Genomic DNA, 19631 nt, shown 5'->3' on the forward strand with positions numbered 1-19631 from the left:
AGTGCAGTGGCGCGATCTTGGCTCACTGCAAGCTCCACCTCCCAGGTTCACGCCATTCTCCTGCCTCAGCCTACCATGTAGCTGGGACTACAGGCGCCCACCACTACGCCCGGCTAATTTTTTTGTGTTTTTAGTAGAGACGGGGTTTCACCGTGTTAGCCAGGATGGTGTCGATCTCCTGACCTTGTGATCCGCCTGTCTCGACCTCCCAAAGTGCTGGGATTACAGGCGTGTGCCACCGTGCCCAGCCTAAACTAGAATTTCTAATGGGAATTTGTCCTGTACCTATTTGTGGTATTTCAAAGAAATGTATTTATTTCCTAGTTTCTTTTTCCCCATGAGATTTTTAAGTTGAGTTATTATATATTTGTGCCAAAGTGGTTGAGTTTTATAAAATACTGGAGAACATATATAAGTACTTCTCCATTGTTGCAAAACAGTAATCTGTAACTACCATTTGTCATACATGTACTCCTGTGTGTCCAGGAACTATTTTAAGCACTTCATATACAGTACCATTTATTCCTCACGCTTAAAGGAGGTATTATTACTCTTTAGGAAAGGTTCAGAGAAATTGAATAATTTTTTCATGATCACATAGCTAAGAGTTGGGATTCAAACTCAGGGCTATCTGACTTGAAAGACTGTGACATTATACCTTTTAAATATATTTGGGATTTTATAGTTTTGGTTAAAAAAATTCGCTTATTTCTAAAATAGAATCTATGAAGACACCAATTTTTTTGCACCATTATTTTCCACAATGTGCTAGTTTTTGCCAACTCCTGGCTTAGCATACTGGCTTTCCCTGTGCCTACTTATACAAAACTTGCAGCCTAGGTCTACTTTGTTAGAGATACATCCTAGGCTAGAGTCTGCTGCTATAGTAAAGTGTACTTAAATGTTAAAGAGAAGGGTGTGGTAGATTCTCTTGTTTCTGTGGATTCCCTATCTAGAGAACTTTGATGCTTGTGATCTGGGCTGAACTATGAGGGATAATACCTTGTGGAATTATATTGAAGGAGTAGCTTATGGTAGTTGGATCTCCTGGAACAGATTTTGCTCATGGTAACTGCAGTTAGCAATGGCTGCTTTCTTTTGTAAAGCATTTGTTGATCTCTCTCATTTTGTTGGGGTTTTCTCCATGCTGATCAGACATTGTTGATTTCCAGTGATTGCCCTCCTGTTGTACTTTTATTTCAACTTCTATAATCTGTCCTAAGATAGCCATTTTACTTTGAGGGTTTCATCACATAGCTTCTAATCATTCAGTTACAGGATATAAATGCCCTGTTCCCCCCATACAGCTCAGGTTTTGTTAGTTGGCCTCAAAAACTTTGGGGTGAAGAGAATGGGTATAAAAATTTTAGTGCATTCAGTTTAGCCATTCTTCTTTTCCTCACCCATTTGCAGAGGAAGTAACCTCATTTCCTACTACTCCCTTCCTTGTTTACTTTATAGCAAGGGTCAGCAAAATAAGGCCTGCTCAGCTGCCTGTTTTTGTATGGCCTGTGAGCACCACTCCAGTGGGTTAGCATTGTGAGTGTTGGAGAACTAGCTTAGCTGTTTGCCTCTGTTCCATTCTCCCCTTTGCTTCTAGCTCCTGTCACCCTGGCCAGTGGCCATGCTTTATTGCTGCCCAGACTTACTGTGGTGCTGCCTACACCAGAGTAAATATTCTGCTTGGCGTTGGCTTGGCACTAAATGGTATAATCTCAGTCTGGAAATTGGTGACTCAGCAAATTATCTCACCTACGGCCCCCTGGGGCAGGTGCCCACAGTAGACTCTCCCTGAGAATTTTGATCTCATTGGGGTAGAGTAAAACTGACCATGTTGGTCACTCCTCCTGTCTCCCTATGGCTCCTTTCCATCAGACAGGTACTTTTTCTTTGGAGAATGTCTCCAGGATGGCACCTGGGCAGCCGTGTGCCACAATTTTGGGATGGCCCAACCTAGGCAAAAAAGGTACAGGGCAGGGCAGGGGTTTTTCCTCTTGTTATATAAGTAGTTACATACTTATTATATGCTTGATTTAGCCTTTTTCCCAGCAGAGTCTAGAATATCACTGTTCAGAAAAAGTTTGCCAGTCCTGGCTTTATAGCCATATTGGCCTCCTTGCTGTGCCAAGCACACCTTTAGGCGTTGTTGCCTCAGACCTTTAGCACTTGCTGTTCCCTTCTTATGGGCTTGTTCTTTGATAGCTCCTGTTCATTCACAAACCAGAATTTTAGGTTTTATTTTTCAGAGATAGAAGAAAACTTTGCATTTTACCGATTCATTTGCTTGGGGCTAGCAACAAAACAGAGAGCAAATAGATCTAGTCTTTGCTTTCATGGAATTTAGAATCCTTTGAGAGAAAAGACAATAAACATAATCCCACCAATAATATATCACAAATTGTGTTAAATCCTATGAAGAAAATGTTCAGGGACCTGAGAGATTATAAATGGAGGGGCAACTAATTTTAAAAAGGGGTTACATTGACTGTATTTTTTTGAGACAAGATTTCACGCCATGGCCCATCCTGGAGTACAGTGGTGGGATCACAGCTCACTTCAGCCTTGACCTCCTGGGCTCAAGTGATCCTCCCACCTTATCCCGCTGCATAGTCCCTTTGGGGGACTGTAGGCCCACCACCACACCTGGCTGACGTGTGTATGTATGTGTAAAGATGAGGTCTCACTATGTGCCCAGGGTGGTCTCAAACCCCTAGGCTCAGGTGATCCTCCTACCTCAGCCTCCCAAAGTGTTGGGATTACAGGCATGAGCCACAGCGCCTGGCCTAGATTAACTTTATCACTTCTGCTGCCACCGTGGACTCCATTGATCCGTGCTAGCATCATCTCTTGACTGGATTACTACGGTAGCTTCCTAACTGATCTCTCTACTTCTGCTCGTGCACACCTGCAGTCAGTTTTCTACACAACAGTCATGGTGACTGTATGAAAATAAGTCATATTGCTGTTTTGTCCAAACCTTTTGATGATTCACACTCTTACACTATATAGTAAAACTCAGAAGTCTTACAGTTGCACTCAAGGCATCATTACTTCTTTGACTTCATCACTTACTATTTTCTCCCTTGCTCACTCTATGATCATATTGGTCTCCTTGCCATGCCAGATACATTCTTAAGTACCCTCTTGTCCCAGGGTATTGGCACTTGATTTTCCCTAGATTGGAAATTCTCAGATATCTGCTTGGCTCACCTCATCACCTTTTTCATGCCTTTTATGGTCATGCTGTTTTAGAGTTAAAACTTTTTTTCATGTAGTCAAATGACCATGTTATTTAAAACGACAACCTTCTTACCTCTCCTCATATATTCACTTTATTCCTCTTGTCTCTTTATTCTCCATGGCACTTACCACTGTCTTCTATATAATATTTTTGCTTTTTTGTCTTCCCCTCTAAAAGCTTCACAAGAGCACAGATTTTTAGATGTTTACTGCTAAATTCTTAATGTCCTAAAACTGGTGCATAGTAAGCTCTTAGTATATATTTGTTGAATGAATGAATGAGGAAAACTTTCTTTGATAACAATGTCAGCCTAGACAATAGTGAGAAATGGTGGTAAAAAGAGTGAAGGCCCTGAGCAAGGAGAGCCTATAATTTAGTGACTCGAATGTATAGTGAATATCCTGAGATGAGGCTGGAGAGTTGGATGATAGCCATATCCTGTAAGACCTTCAACATTTTTGGATGTAATTTTAAGTGTAATGGGAATCCACCAAAGGGTTTCAGTACTTAATACTTCAGAGTTTATTTCCTGAGTACAAAGATATTCTCCTGTATAACCATAGTACAACTTTCAAAGTCAGGAAGTTGGCATTGATTCATTATTACCATTTAATCTGTAGAATTCATTCAAATATTGCTGATTTTCCTAATATTATTTACAGGTTCAGGATCTAATCTAGAATCATGCAGTGCATTTAATTGTTACGTCTCTTTAATCTCCTTCAATCTGGACCAGTTCTTCAGTTTTTCTCGTCTTTCATGACCTTGACATTTTTGAAGAGTACAGGCTAATTACTTTTTAGAATTTTCCTCAATAAAGGCTTGTCTCATTTTCTTGTGATTTCTGCATTTTTGCATAGGAGTACCAGCGAAGTGATGCTGTGTTCTTTCTAGTGCATATCAGGAAAAATAAGATGTGGATTTGTTCTGTAGTGGTAATGTTTATTTTTATCGCTTGGTTAAGATGGTGTTTGCCAGGTTTCTTGACCTTACAGTTAATAAGCTTGTTGTACTAATTAGTAAATATTTTGTGGGGAGATACTTTGGGACTATGTAATATCCTGTTTCATTACACACTTTTCATTATTTTATCATTTATTGATGAATCTTACCAGAATTAGATATTATACTCTGAAAGGTACCAAATGGTAATTTTTCTAATTTCATCTAGACTATGGTACCGTAGGATAGAGTTTTCCCTATTCACCTGTTTATTTACCTCCGAATGGTGGTCTTTTCCTCAATGGGCTCTTATTTTTTACTGTTATTTTATTTAGATTGGTTCAGTGCTTAGCCATTGGGAGCCCCTTAAAGCTACCTCCTGTGCCCTTTTGACATGTCCTCATCATTTTTTGAGTACTTCCTTAACTTTCTGGCATAGCAAGATGTTTTAGACTTGAATATTGAATTTTTTCAGTCTCAGCCCTTGAGTCAGCCATTTCTCTAAGGAGCACTTGGCTCATTTTAATGCAAAAGATTATCTGGGCAGTAGGTGTGCTTATTGCTACTGTGAAGTGTTACTGCTTATAGGCCCTCTTAGCATATACATTTAGGAAATACATAGTTACACATTTATACTTGTTTTTATTTCTCTCTGCTACCTTTAAAAAATGAGTTAAAAACTAGCTGGGTGTGGTGACATGCACCTGTAGTCCTGGCAGCTCAGGGGCTAAAGTGGGCAGATTGCTTGAGCCTGGGAGTTCAAGGTTACCGTGTACTGTGATTGTGCTACTGTACTGCAGCCTGGGCAACAGAATGATACCCTGTCTGTAAACAAACAAAAAAAGTTCACATTGATATCTCCAGTTCCAGTTTAAAACTGTGGAGTTATTCTAACCTTCTGCCTTCTCATGTTTGTGGATTTTTTTTTTTTTTTTTGAGACAGGTTCTTGCCCAGGCTGGAGTACAGTGGCGCTGTCTTGGCCCACTGCAGCCATGACCTCCAGATCAAGTGATCCTCCCACCTCAGCCTCATGAGTAGCTGGGACCACAGGTGTGCGCCACCATGCCTGGCTAATGTTTGTATTTTTAGTAGAGACAGGGTTTTGCTGTGTTTCCTAGGCTGGTCTCGAACTCTGGGCTCAAGTGATCCACCTGCCTCAGCCTCCCAGAGTGCTAGGATTACAGGCGTGATCTGCTGTGCCTGGCCCTTTCAGGTATTTGTATCTCTGACCTTGGGAAACTTGGCTTCCATTATCTTCAATGTATTTACTTAATTGGATAGTTTTTCCTGTTTATAACCAAACTCATAGCCATGCCAGCCAAAAGCTTGGTCTCAGATATGTTGCCCACTCCTGCTGAAAATTTGCCCCCAGAAATAATCATTACAAAAATACCCCTGATGAAGGGGTGGGGGAAGTATAAGGGAAAAAGGAAAGGAGGAAAGATTAGAGGCCAGTTAGAAAGCTTGGCCTGACCCTTTTCTCCTCCTTTCCCTGCCAGACTTGCTGACTGACAGCTCACCCTGATGGGGGGAAGTCTGCTTTATATTTTGTGATCATTCTGGCTGCTATGCAGAAAACAGGTCGGAAAGAATGAGAAAGGAGATGGAGAGGTTGTCTAGGAAACTTTTGGATTTCTAGCTGAAAGACAGTGGTAGCTTTGATGTGCTGTGTGGCAGTGCTGGAGACAGATAGAGATGGGCTTACCCAAAACATTTAAAAGTCGGTAAACCTGTTTTTAATTGGCAGTTTACCAGAGATACTAATTTGTCTAATGGATACAAACTTATTTATTTTAGTAAGAAATAGTATTTTTAAGAAATATTTTGGTTTTCAGAGCAGATGTTAGTTTGCTTTTAGCCAATAACAGTTGATAAATATTTTTCTGTGGTGGTGGGTATGACTTTTTGTTCATAGTTTTTCACTGCATATATTTTTTAAGCTTCTGGTTTACGTATTAAAAAACTTTTTTTCATATAAAATAGCTGCTCAAAGTAAGCATGAATAATTTTTGTATCATTTTAAACCAGTTGTAATTACATAAATGCATGTAATATTTAGCTCTGGTAATTATTAATTCTGCTCTATTTTTTAGATATTATGATCAGATTTGTTCTATTGAACCCAAATTCCCATTTTCTGAAAATCAGGTAAGTCATTAATTCTGTCTTAAAATTATATGGTAATAGCACCCATTTCCTTCTGCCAATATCTTCACTGTCTTTAGAGTTTTATGAGATAGTGTTATAAAAATAGGAGCTTTTAGATCTGTCTAATGCGAATATATGTGCTTCTGAAGAAAGAATCTCCTGGAATTCTGTTCATGTCATTCTTCAGTCACTTCTGGGGCTCATGTAGAGCAATGGTTTGTTTTTCTTTGGACTTCATTTTATGTCAGTAGGATCTGTTGACTGATTAATCTGCTGTGTCCTTTCCTTTGACTTTTTCAGAATTAGGAAGGAAACTGCACAATTCAGGAATTATTAGTCTCAGTTTATGTGCTTTAAAAATTATTCGCACAAGTTACATTTGCATGTAAAAGTTGCAAATGCTGTTTTGATTAAATGTTAATTACATGAATGTCAACTATTTTCTCCTTAAAGGCTAGATGTTGAAAATGCTGATAATTTCTTATAGTTTTATTTTGGAGATTGGATAAAGATTTTAAAATTAGTGATACTTTTAAATTTTAAAATAGTTATAAGAAAAGTACTTTAAACATTCTTGTACTAAAGTTTTTACAGGTGAAATAATTATATGTTGAGATTTCCTTTAATATATTCCTGGAAAAAAAGTGTAGGTGGCTGGAGGCAGGGCAAATTGGGAGGTAGATGAACCAAGAAGGGCAAAAGACTAAAGCTGCTGATGGATGTACTGGAGTTCATTCTCTTTATTCTCTTTAGTTTTTCTGTATGTTTGAAAATTTCCCTAATCAAGAGTTTAGAAATTTTTGTATTAGATTGCAATAAATAATTTAAATGAGGTTTATTTCTTTCTAATCTTTGTATGTGATAATACATATTTCAGGAGCAGAGAGAGAGTTTTTTAATAAACATTTAATTTTCATGTAGCATATGGAAAAGTGAACAAATCACGGGTATAGCTTGAATCTTACAAAGTGAATATGTCTGTATAACCACCACCTAGATAAATAAATAAAATATTAACCTATTCCCCAAAATAACCATTCTCCTACTTTTGTCATCATGGAATAGTTTTTAATTTCATCTTCTAGGAAACCTGTAGTACTTACTTTTATTTCCCTTGCTTCACTTAGCTTATTTGACAAGGATCTACTACTTATTTTGTTCCGTTGAAGTCATTGTGTGTTTATAAAGATGAATAAGATAGTGTTTATGATTACCAAGGCAGAATGACCATTTGAAATATCCCAGTGCCAGTATTTTACTTTTTTTAGATTTCAATTTAAAAGGAGAAGGAAAGGAAGTTGGGTGGTTATAGGAGATAATATTTTGAGCTTTTGTCCTTTTTTTCATGGTGGATTTTTCTTCAAAGAAGACTTAATATTTAATGAGATTCAGGAAGGTTACCTAATTTTCTGTTTTCTTTCATTCTATCCAGATCTGCTTGACATTTACCTGGAAGGATGCTTTCGATAAAGGTTCACTTTTTGGAGGCTCTGTAAAACTGGGTATGTAATTTTTAATAAAAGTGATAGGAAAATTGGTCTAACTACTTTGCATTGTTTTTAGTTTTTAAAATTGTTATCCTAATGACTCTTTGTAAATACTAAAGTTTTTTACATTTCATTCTCTTTTTAGCTTCAACTTTTAATGCAATTTTGAAATATTTGTAGAGAGCCCATGCCTTGCCAGGCACTGTCCTAGTTATAAAAATGAATAAAACCGATGTACTTAGTTTTTGGGAAGATAGTTGATCATTTAAAAGTGTAATATGTAATAGCCTATGAACAAACTCATGGAAGCATATATGAGGAAGAAAGTAATTCTACCTTTTGAAAGCAGACAATGTTTGAGTTAGGCCTTGAAGGATGGATTTGTAGAAAATAATATTACAGATACAAAATCATAACCATAGGTCAGAAGGGTGAGGACATTTGATCTACCAGCTCCAGCAAGATAACCTCTCTGTGCCTTAATTTTCTTATCTGTGAAATGGAGATAATACTATTTCTCTCATTGGATTCTTTTTTTTTTTTTTTTTGAGACAGAGTTTTGCTCTTGTTGCCCAGGATGGAGTGCAGTGGCACGATCTTGGCTCACTGCAACCTCTGCCTACTGGGTTCAAGTGATTCTCCTATTCTTCTACCTCAGCTGGGATTACAAGCACCCGCCACCACACCTGGGTAATTTTTTTAGTAGAGACGGGGTTTCACCATGTTGGCCAGGCTGGTCTCAAACTCCCGACCTCAGGTGATCCACCCATCTCGGCCTCCCAAAGTGCTGGGATTACAGGTGTGAGCCCCTGGCCTATTCCATTAGATTCTTATGTGGATTAAATGAGTGAATACATGTAAAGTCCTAAGAACAGTGCTTTATTAGCTGCAATGAATAATTATATTATTATATAACATTGTAATGTATATGTGATATATGTATATTTCATGTATATATGTATATTTCATGTATATTATATGTATATATGTATTATATATGCACATATAATGTGTATTATATGTGCATATATAATGTGTATTATATATGCATGTATGTATATATGTGTATATAATGTGTATTATATATATGTATGTATATATGTAAGTATATAATGTATTATATACATATATGTATATATACTTACATATACACACATATATAGTATATTTGTATACATATATACATTTATGTGTATGTATAGTATATATAATATGTATACTATATGCATGTATTATTCATATACATATATGTATATACATATATACATATATATTCATGTACACATATACATATATGTATATATTATATATAAGAAATATGTATATATACACATGCATTATATATAAGTATGTATAATATGCCTTATGGTATATCCTTTTTATAGTATACATATACATTAAGATATGCTATAATATATACTATATACCTTCTAAGATATAGATGTATAATATGTATTATATAGTATGTGCATACCATATACATACATGTATCTATATATCTTATATAAGGTTTATACTTATATATAGGTGAGGAAATGGAAATATATATTTTATAGTAGATATTATATATAATGTTAATTTAATAATAATTATTGTTATGGCTTGTAACCATAGGTTGAATTGGGGATTATGGAGGGTGATGATATTAGAAAGCAGATTGTGGAGAGTTGCAAATATTATGCTCCTGACTTTGTACTTTTCCCTCTTATATAATAATAGTGCATGTTTATTGGGCATTTATTTTACCCAGGTACTCTGGAAGGGACTTCATAAATAGTCTTACTGAATTCTCCAATAGCTTAATGAGGAAAAGGCACTATTATTGCCAGTTGAACAAACTGGTTTAGAAAGATTACGTGATTTTCTGAAGTCATATGGTTAGGATTTAATGAAGCTGGGATATGAATCTAGAAGGCCTAACTCCCGGGACTAGAGAGAAACAGACCAGTGAGGAGACTGATGAGAGATGATGAGGTTAGACAAGCTAGTGTGTGCAAGTTACAGAAGAGAGGGATTTCAGACTTTTCAGAGGTGAAGTTGACTGAATTTGCTGACTACCAGTCAGAAGGAAGAGTAAGAGTTGAGGCTTGACTCTGAGATTTAATAAGTTGGTTTGACCTGTTGGATATTTATTCCTCTTTAGTAGAAAGGTTGACTCTGATTTTTCTGTGTTATGTCTGGGTAGACATTTCTCTGGCATTTTGAAATAAAGGATTTAAAGCTCAGAAGAGAAAGATATACATTCGGGAACAATTATTAGGTGATAATAAATTTATTCCTTCTGGCAGATAATTGACTGAGAAAAGTATCAAAGTCAGAGCTAAGTAATATAACATTCAGGGGAAATAGAGGAAGAGGTTCTGGGAATGAGGTTGAGAAAAAGCTTTCATATCTTACAGGAACCAGGGTAAAATAGAGATGTGAAGGAATGCCAGAAGAGTTTCAAAGGTGATGTGGTCCAGTGGTTCCCAAACCTGGCTGCGTATTAGTATTACCTGGGAAAAATGTTAAAGGTTTATCTTTAAAGATGAAGATACAGAGTGCCAGATGTGATAGGAGAAAGTTTTGGAGTAGGGCACTGGAATTAGTATCTTTGGAAATATCTCCGGGTGGCCGGGTGCGGTGGCTCACGCCTGTAATCCCAGCAGTTTGGGAGGCCGAGGTGGGTGGATCACGAGGTCAGGAGTTTGAGATTATCCTGACCAACATGGTGAAATCCTGTCTCTACTAAAAATACAAAATTAGCCAGGTATAGTGGCGCACGCCTTGTAATCCCAGCTACTCAGGAGGCTGAGGCAGGAGACTCACTTGAACCTGAGAGGCAGAGGTTGCAGTGAGCTGAGATTGTGCCATTGCACTCCAGCCTGGGTGACAGAGCAAGATTCTGTCTAAAAAAAAAAAAAAAAAAAAAAAAAGAAAATATCTCCAGGTGATTCTGATGATCATCCCAGGTCCAGGCTGGAACATCCTTGACAGAGTCATTGTGGCAGAACTCAAGTCATGTAAGGTTGGAGAAGTCACTGGATTTAGCAGAGAGAAGTTTCTCTTGGAGTATCCTGAATAAGCATCAGATTGAGGGGTGAATGGGAGGTGAGGGAATGGAAACAGTAAATGTGGGTTGCTCATTTCAGGAAATCTACAGTAAAGATTTGGGGACAAAGGGAGCATCATTCTGAGAGGGAGCCAAGGTGCAGAAAAGGATTTTTAGTATTGTTATGACTTAAGAAATTTGGTAGGCTGAGAATAAGGAGCAGATGGCAGGAGAACTAGGAGACACTTGAGTGATGAACTCAAGTATCCAGAAGAACTGGGAAGCAAAAAATTAGATCATAAACAGGAGGTGGTTCATCAAGGCATTTCTAGTAGCAAAAATTGGTAATTAAATGTCCTTCAGTAATGTCTTGGTTAAATAAAAGGCTACTCATTCATTTGAATATTGTGTACTTTTGGAATACTAAGAATAAAAATGCATATATGTATTTGTTGATATGTAAAGTTATATCAATGGAATATTGAATAAAAGGCCTGCCTTAGTTCAGAGTTGTTGCATTGTACAACTCTAGGGTCCCCGGAATTGGGCTCCTTGGGACACTCCTCATACAGAACTCAGAGTAATTCCTCCTCCCTCGAGTTGTGCACTCCAGGCAACTCGAGTGTGGTATAGTATCCACTTTGTGAAAAGTTATGTGTGTGAATGTTTATGTAGTTATTTGTGAGATACCAAAAAATAAATTCTGGTTAACTCTGGAAGATGAGATGTTGGGTGATTTTTAATTATTTTTTTGTAGTTTAGAAAAATTGTTTGAATTTTAGAAAGCTGTTATTTTCATGAGTTATTTTCGTTTTGAAAAACTTAGAGGCTGGAAGTGGTGGCTCGTGCCTGTAATCCCAGTACTTGGGGAGGCCAAGACAGGTGGATCACTTGAGCCCAGGAGTACAAGACCAGCTTGGGGAACAGACGAAACTCTGTCTCTACAAAAAATAAAAAAATTAGCCAGACATGGTGGTGTGTGCCTGTAGTCCTAGCTGTTTAGGGGGTTGAGGTGAGAGGATTGCTTGAGCCTGGGAGGTTGAGGCTGCAATAAGCCATGATCACGCCACTGTACTTCAGCCTGGGTGACAGAGTGACACCTTGTCTCAAAAGAAAAAAAAAAGATAAAAGAAAAACTTAAAAGAGAGCAAGTAAGAAACAAGAATACAGTTAAATACTTAGAAAGGCATCTTTGAAAAAAAGGAAAATTAAATATTGTTTTGAAAACCTGGTTTAAGTTTAGATGGATAGAAAAAAATAAAGGAAAAAAAGATAAAATAGCTCTTATATGTAAAATCTCATAAAAGCTCTTATACATGACAAATTGTCAAAATAAAATGAGAGACTACAGTCTGGTATGATAATATTTATGGGCAACATAATAGACTGAGATATGTATCCAATATATAAACAGTTTACTTTTATTTCTTGTTTGGAATATATTTCATTCTTGTTTTTTTTTTTTTTTTTTTTTTTTGGAGAACAGTCTTGCTCTGTTGCCCAGGGTGGATGGAGGGCAGTGGCATGATCTCGGCTTACTGCAACCTCTGCCTCTGAGGTTCAAGTGATTCTCGTGCCACAGCCTCCTGAGTAGCTGGGATTACAAGCATGCACCACCACGCCTGGCGAATTTTTGTATTTTTAGTAGAGACGGGGTTTCACCATGTTGGCCAGGCTGGTCTCGAACTCCTGACCTCAAGAGCTCCGCCCACCTTGCCTTCCCAAAGTGCTGGGATTACAGGTGTGAGCCACCACGCCTGGCTGATATTTAATTTTGTTCCTTGCTCTCTCCTGCCACACTGGCCTAATGTATATATTTATTGAATTAATTAAAATTATATTCAGAACTTGAAGATATTGATCCCTTGCTTTTTTTTTTTTTTTTTTTTTTTTGATAGGGAGTCTCACTCTGACGCTAGGCTGGAGTGCAGTGGCACGATCTCGGCTCACTGCAACCTCCGCCTCCAAGGTTCAAGCGATTATCCTGCGTCAGCTTTCCGAGTAGCTGGGACTACAGGTGTGCGCCACCACGTCCAGCTAATTTTTGTACTTTTAATAGAGACAGGGTTTCACCATGTTGGCCAGAATGGTCTTGTTCTCTTGACCTCGTGATCTGTCCGCCTCAGCCTCCCAAAGTGCTGAGATTACAGGCGTGAGCCACTGCACCTGGCCAATCCCTTGCCTTTTAGTATCTAGTGTTACTGATGAAAAGTCTGATTTTTGTTATTTTATAAGTGATCTGTTTCTTTGCTCTTGGGAATATTTTTACAGTCTTCTCTTTATCTTTCATGTTTAGAAATCTCAAAAGACTTAATGGGATTTCATTTTATTCGTGTGTAGGGCATTTCTTTTTGGCCCTTTTAGTTTGAACACTTATATCTCCCTTAAGCTCTGGGAAGTTTTCTTATATTTCTTTGATAATTTTCTTGTCTCTTTTGTCTCTCTTTCTTTGGAATACTTTATTAGATGTTGGTTGTTCTGAGTTGTTCACTCGTAATTTTTATATTTTTTCTTGACTTTCTGTTCTTTCTGAGATTGCCTAGATATTAATTTTAAAACTTGAAAAAAAATTTTTTTTCCTTCCTCCGCCCTTAAAACTTTTGAAAAAAATTTAACAATCAAGTTTTTAATTTTTAGGAGCTTTGTCTTATTAATTTAAAAAATCCTTTTCTTTTATGGATGTACTGTCTTTGAATCTCTTTAAGGAATGCTAATTGTGATATTTGGAATATAATCTTTTATGACTGGAATTGTCTTTATTTATTTTGGGCTTAGTTTTTCAGTTCGCATTGCTCTTCCTTTATTTTGCTGCAGGCTTTTTTCACAACCTGGTTATTTTGGATTTTCCATATGTTTAATAAAGTAGGTTAGAGTAGCTGGTGTTTATGTCTGCTTTAGTTTAGAATGAGGAGACTAGAACTGGTTTGGAAGCAAGTTGAAAACTGGCCTTTATTACCTAGGAGGCCACCAAAGTACTGTAACAAGGAGGGCTTTACTTTATGGTACAACTCTGTGGCACAAACATACAAATGTAGTGTTGTTCTGATTCTCCTAGATTGGTTTGTTCAGTGTTTTTTGTAAGGAGCCTTATTTTGCCTAGTGGTCAATGCCTTGCACATTATGCAAGATCTTGAATTCCAAACTGATTGAATTCTGTGAGTAATAGGGAGCTATTGTAGATTCTTTTTTAAAAGTTATTTTTCAATTGTGATACAATATACACAATATGCCTTCTTAACCATTTTAAGTGTACACTTCAGTGGTATTAAGTACATTTACATTATTGTGCAAACATCATCTCGAGAACTCTTTTTCATCTTACAAAACAAACTCTGCCCAGTAAATGATAACTTCACAGACTGGGGGCGGTGGCTTATGCCTGTAATCCCAGCATTTTGGGAGGCCGAGGTGGGAGGATTGCTTGAACCAACGAGTTCAAGACCAGCCTAGGCAACATAGTGAGTCCCTGTCTCTACAAAAGATACAAAAATTAGCCGGGTATGGTGGCCTGTGCCTGTAGTCCCAGCTACTCAGGAGGCTGAGGCAGGAGGATTGATTGAGTCCAAGAGGTAGAGGCTGCAATGGGTGTGATTGCACTAGTGCACTCCAGCCTGGGTGAGAGAATGAGACCCTGTCTCAAAAGAAAAAAACAATTATAATGTCCCATTCTTCCCTCCCCCCTCAACCCTTGGCAACTAGCATTCTTTCAGTCTCTGAATTAAACTGTAGGTACCTCATACAAGTAGAGTCGTAGACTGCATTTAAAAAAAATTTCACAACATGAAATTTATTATCTTAATCATTTTTAAGTATACAGTTCACTAGTGTTGGGTGTATTTCATATTGTTGTAAAATACATCTCCAGAACTTTTTCATCTAGCAAATCTGAAATATTGTACTAATTGAACAACAATCCCCCTCCCCCTACCACCATCCCTGATAACCATCATTCTGATTTCTGTCTCTATGAATTTGATTACTCTAGGTAACTCATATAAGTGGAATCATACAATATTTGTCTTTTTGTGACTGACATTTCATTTAGCTTAATGTCCTCAAGATTCATCCGTGTTATAGCATATGATTTCCTTCTTGTTCAAGGCTCACTAATATTCCATTGTATGTATATACCACATTTTGTTTATATATTCATCAGATCACAGACACTTGGGTTGCTTTCATGTTTGGCTTTGTGAATAATGCTGCTATGAACATGGGCATACGTATATCTCTTTGAGACTCTGCTTTCATTTTTTTGGGGGTGTATACTCAAAAGTGGAATTGCTGGATAAAATAGCAATTCTATTTTTAATATTTTGAGGACCTGCCATATTGTTTTCCACAGCAGTTGTACTTTTTCTAATTTTTATTTTTTATTTTGAGACAGGGTCTTGCTCTGACGCTCAGGGTGAAGTGTAGTGGCATGATCATAGCTCACTGCAGCCTTGAACTCCTGGGCCCTAGTGGTCCTCCCGCCTCCGAGTAGCTAGGACTATAGACATGCACCACCATACCTGGCTGTTTAAAAACAATTTTTTTTTTTTTTGTTGAGATGGGGTCTTGCTGTGTTGCTCAGGCTGACCTCAAACTCTTGGCTTCAAGAGATCCTCCTGCCTCAGCCTACTAAAGTGCTGAGATTACAGGAGTGAGCCACCATGCCCAACCACGAGTTTGCGTTCCTGCCAACAGTACAGGAAAGTTCCAGTTTGTCTATATCTTCATCAATGCTTATTTTCTGTTTGTTTTTTAATAGGAGCTATCCTAAGTGGATGTGAGGTGTGTAGATTTTTTTTTTTTAATCAGAGTTGGGTTTTAGCCCAGCTAACCTGCTAGCCCTTTGAGAAATGTATTTGCATGAGGGAGTAAAGCATAAGGCCAGCTAGGAGGTAATTGCATTGACTTAGATTTGTGGTAATGAGGAATTGGTTTGATTGTGGTGGGACAATGTGATTTTGAGAGGTGACAGAAAAATGGAAATAATTTATTCAAATTTAAGAAACTGAGAGAAATGACATGAAAATGACTTTTACATTTGAATTTGATTGTAATAGAAATGTGGAAGTAAAGGGAAGGAGAGAAAGAATAACTTACTGTTCTTCAGCGTTTTGGGTGATGGGAATATTGTTGTGGAAATAAATGCCTGTAAGGGCAGCTTGAAATATGGGAGCATATGACAGCAAGAAAACAGGTCTGGAAACTTGTTTTTGTGAGAGTCAGCGGGATGAGAGAGGTCATAGTATTTCTCTTTGAAACATTTGTTTTCTTTAGAAAAAATAATCTGATGAATTTTTCCTTCTCAATTTTTTACAGCTCTTGCAAGCTTAGGATATGAAAAGAGCTGTGTGTTGTTCAATTGTGCAGCCTTAGCTAGCCAAATTGCAGCAGAACAGAACCTGGATAATGATGAAGGATTGAAAATCGCTGCTAAACATTACCAGGTATGCTGAAAAGTAGTTACTACAATAATGGTCAACACTAAATTGGATTAAGTGGAAAATAATTTGCATTTAGGTTTATAGATACTTCTTACGCAACAGATGTTTTCTAAAACGAATGCACTTTTAAAATGAATTTATTCTTACTGTTAAAGCCCTTAGATAAACTGTCTATAGACCAGGTCTGTTATTCCTCATTGTTTTATACCGAGCACCTAGCACAGTGCCTGGCACATAATAGAGGCTCAATAATTGTTGGTTGAAGAAATTATGAAATGTCTGAGATTTCATCTCAGGCATTTAGGGTAAATCCATTTTAAATAAATTACCTAATTAAAAAAAATTTGTACATTATTTTCATATGTTTTCTTAGAGTGAGACACACTTGAAATTTCACTGTTGTTACAAAAATAAAGACAAGAAATTGGCAAGAAAATAAAATTTTAACTTTGAGACTTGTGGAGAGGTCATATTTAAATATGGTCAGACACATAATGTTCATAAGTTGCCTAATCTGTTTTACGTACTGATCATTTACTAATATGGCATGTTATTTTGTGGCAGTTTATTTTATTTTATTTATTTATTTATTTTGAGACGGAGTCTTGTTCTGTTGCCCAGGCTGGAGTGCAGTGGCACAATCTCGGCTCACTGCAAGCTCCGCCTCCTGGGTTCACGCCATTCTCCTGTCTCAGCCTCCTGAATAGCTAGGACTATAGGCATCCGCCACCTCGCCTGGCTAATTTTTTTTGTATTTTTAGTAGAGATGGGGTTTCACTGTGTTAGCCAGGATGGTCTTGATCTCCTGACATCATGATCCACCCACCTCGGCCTCCCAAAGTGCTGGGATTACAGATGTGAGCCACCATGCCCGGCCAGCAGTTGTTTATTATTTATTCAGCTTTTTTTTGTTTTGGTTAAAAGAACAGTAAATGATTACTGTTAAATAATATATATATAATCATGTTGTCATTTTATATTACTTTCTAATTTACAAAGTGTTTTCATGTACATTATTTGACTCTCAGATAAACCTTGTGATGTATGTCATATAATGTCATTCCGATTTTACATACGAGGAGGCTAAAGGTCCGAAGTCTTAATAAAGCAGTCTATTTGGGTTTCAATAGTTCTGATTCCAAATTTCATGTAATTCCAAATGTCCTTCCACTGTTTCACTCCCAAACCTCCCATGAAATTTGCTTGTCTCAGAGGTAGTCTGCTTTTTCCCGTTGTTTATGTTTAGGGAAGAGGTGAGTGATGCTGTTCTGAGAAAGTAAAAGGAAAATATACCGTAAGCAAACAACACGCTCCAAATTGTGGCTTGCCTTACAGTTTTGAATGGGCATAGATGACAAACATAATGCATACGCTATTTCTTTTTGAGGCTATACATGGCAAATATTTTAAAATGTGAAAACGAGCTGGGCGTGGTGGCTCACGCCTGTAATCCCAGCACTGTGGGAGGCTGTGGTGTGCGGATCACGAGGTCAGGAGTTCCAGACCAGCCTGGCCAACATGGTGAAACCCTGTCTGTACTAAAAATAGAAAAATTAGCTGGGTGTGATGGTGGGCGCCTGTAGTCTGAGCTACTCGGGAGGCTGAGGCAGGAGAATCTCTTGAACCGAGGAGGCGGAGGTTGCAGAGAGCTGAGGTTGTGCCATTGCACTCTAGTCTGGGCGACAAGAGCAAGACTCTGTCTCAAAATAAATAAAATAAAATACAGTAGTGAAAACGAAGTAAAATTTTATTTAGCTTTTGGTTAACTGTAACTCAGTTAGTTAGTATATGAGATTTTAGAAAGGTCATTCTGAATTATGAAAGAAACATTCCATTCTGTGAGGGTTCACAGCAGGGCACCTGGTATCATGGAAAGATAACTGGTGGTATTAGACCTAGGTCCTTGTCTAGGCTGCTTGCCACCCAGAAGCTTTGTGCCGTTGGGCAAGTTCTTTAACCTCTCTAGTACCTCCAGTTCCTTATCTGTAAATGAGAGACTCAGACACTTTGCTGTTGTAGACTTTGATTCACTAGTTTACTGAACAAGTTCAGTTGTTCATTCCTAGCAGATACTCTAGTGTTATAATACTTACTGACTGCAGAAACATGCTGTTCATTTTAATACATTTGACTTTGAGTTTTCTCTGTGTTGTCTATTTATCTAACTCATGACACCTTTTTTTTTTTTTCTTTTTTGAGATGGAGTCTCGCTCTGTTGCCCAGGCAGGAGTACAATGGCGTGATCTTGGCTCACTGCAACCTCCGCCTCCTGGGTTCAAGTGATTCTCCTGCCTCAGCCTCCCGAGCAGCTGGGATTACAAGTGTGTGCCATCATGCCCAGCTAATTTTTGTATTTTTAGTAGAGACGGGGTTTCATCATGTTGGCCAGGCTGGTCTTGAACTCCTGACCTCAGGTAATCTGCCCACCTCAGCCTCCCAAAGTGCCGGGATTAACAGGCGTGAGCCACCGCACCCGGCCAACTCATGACACCTTTTAATCCCAGACTGATTTATTTCTTTTTCTTAGTATAATTTGTTTCATGAAAGCAAAGTTATTTTAGTATTAACAAAATATAATTGAGATGAAAAATCTGATGGGGAACATTTCACTAGTGAGCTCTGAAGGCCAGACAGAAATCACTGGCAATGGGTAGTAATGCTGTTCCTCAGAGGACTAGGTGTATGTACTACCTGGGGTGTCCCCTAACTACGGCATGTTTAATTATTTGAAAGATGAATTTGTTTGGGACCAAAGCAAGAGCATTGCAGTACTAAAAATATTTTAATGTTTATCCCCGCCTCTATTCTCATGTTAATTTTGAGGAAGTATATCTAAAAATAGTTTAATCAGATTGTTCCATTAGTTTACTTTGTTTTTCCTTGTAATTTACTTTTAATCTTTGTTAAATCTCTTGTTACGCTATAGAGTTTTAGAAAGATAACCTTATTGTCTGTAGGTCAGATGTTTTAGATTGGTTTTGCATAATATAAAAATTTAAATATATTAACTGTTCACTGAGTTAACATTTGAAATGACTTTTATATGTAACAGTAGGAAATTAAGTCTTGCTGAGTTCCTATAAAGAAATTCTTTTTCCCCCCTTTAGTTTGCTAGTGGTGCCTTTTTACATATTAAAGAGACGGTTTTATCTGCCTTAAGTCGAGAGCCGACCGTGGACATATCTCCAGATACTGTTGGGACCCTCAGTCTTATTATGCTGGCACAGGCTCAAGAAGTATTTTTTTTAAAAGCCACAAGAGGTAACTCCAATTTATCTTTTTGTTGCATGTGAAAAAAAGTGATAAGGCTTTTAAATTAAGAAAGTGATTAGAATATAATATGTTC

At 37.6% G+C, this 19631-nt stretch overlaps 1 protein-coding gene across 5 annotated transcripts in view; it reads left to right on the forward strand.

The window, feature by feature from the left end:
* The window catches only part of PDCD6IP (programmed cell death 6 interacting protein), a 71074-nt gene that overhangs the window by 7165 nt on the left and 44278 nt on the right, over positions 1-19631 (forward strand). For 4 of the 5 annotated variants that reach the window (NM_001162429.3, NM_013374.6, NM_001256192.2 and 1 more), the window contains exons 2-5: positions 6278-6332; positions 7765-7834; positions 16161-16288; positions 19393-19546. In NM_001162429.3, coding sequence (NP_001155901.1) covers positions 6278-6332; positions 7765-7834; positions 16161-16288; positions 19393-19546 — 407 coding nt within the window. The remainder of the gene's footprint in view (positions 1-6277; positions 6333-7764; positions 7835-16160; positions 16289-19392; positions 19547-19631) is intronic. The other variant, XM_047447042.1, reaches the window with a different exon arrangement.

This window comes from Homo sapiens, chromosome 3 (assembly GCF_000001405.40).
Source record: "Homo sapiens chromosome 3, GRCh38.p14 Primary Assembly".
In the NCBI taxonomy this organism is placed as follows: domain Eukaryota; kingdom Metazoa; phylum Chordata; class Mammalia; order Primates; family Hominidae; genus Homo; species Homo sapiens.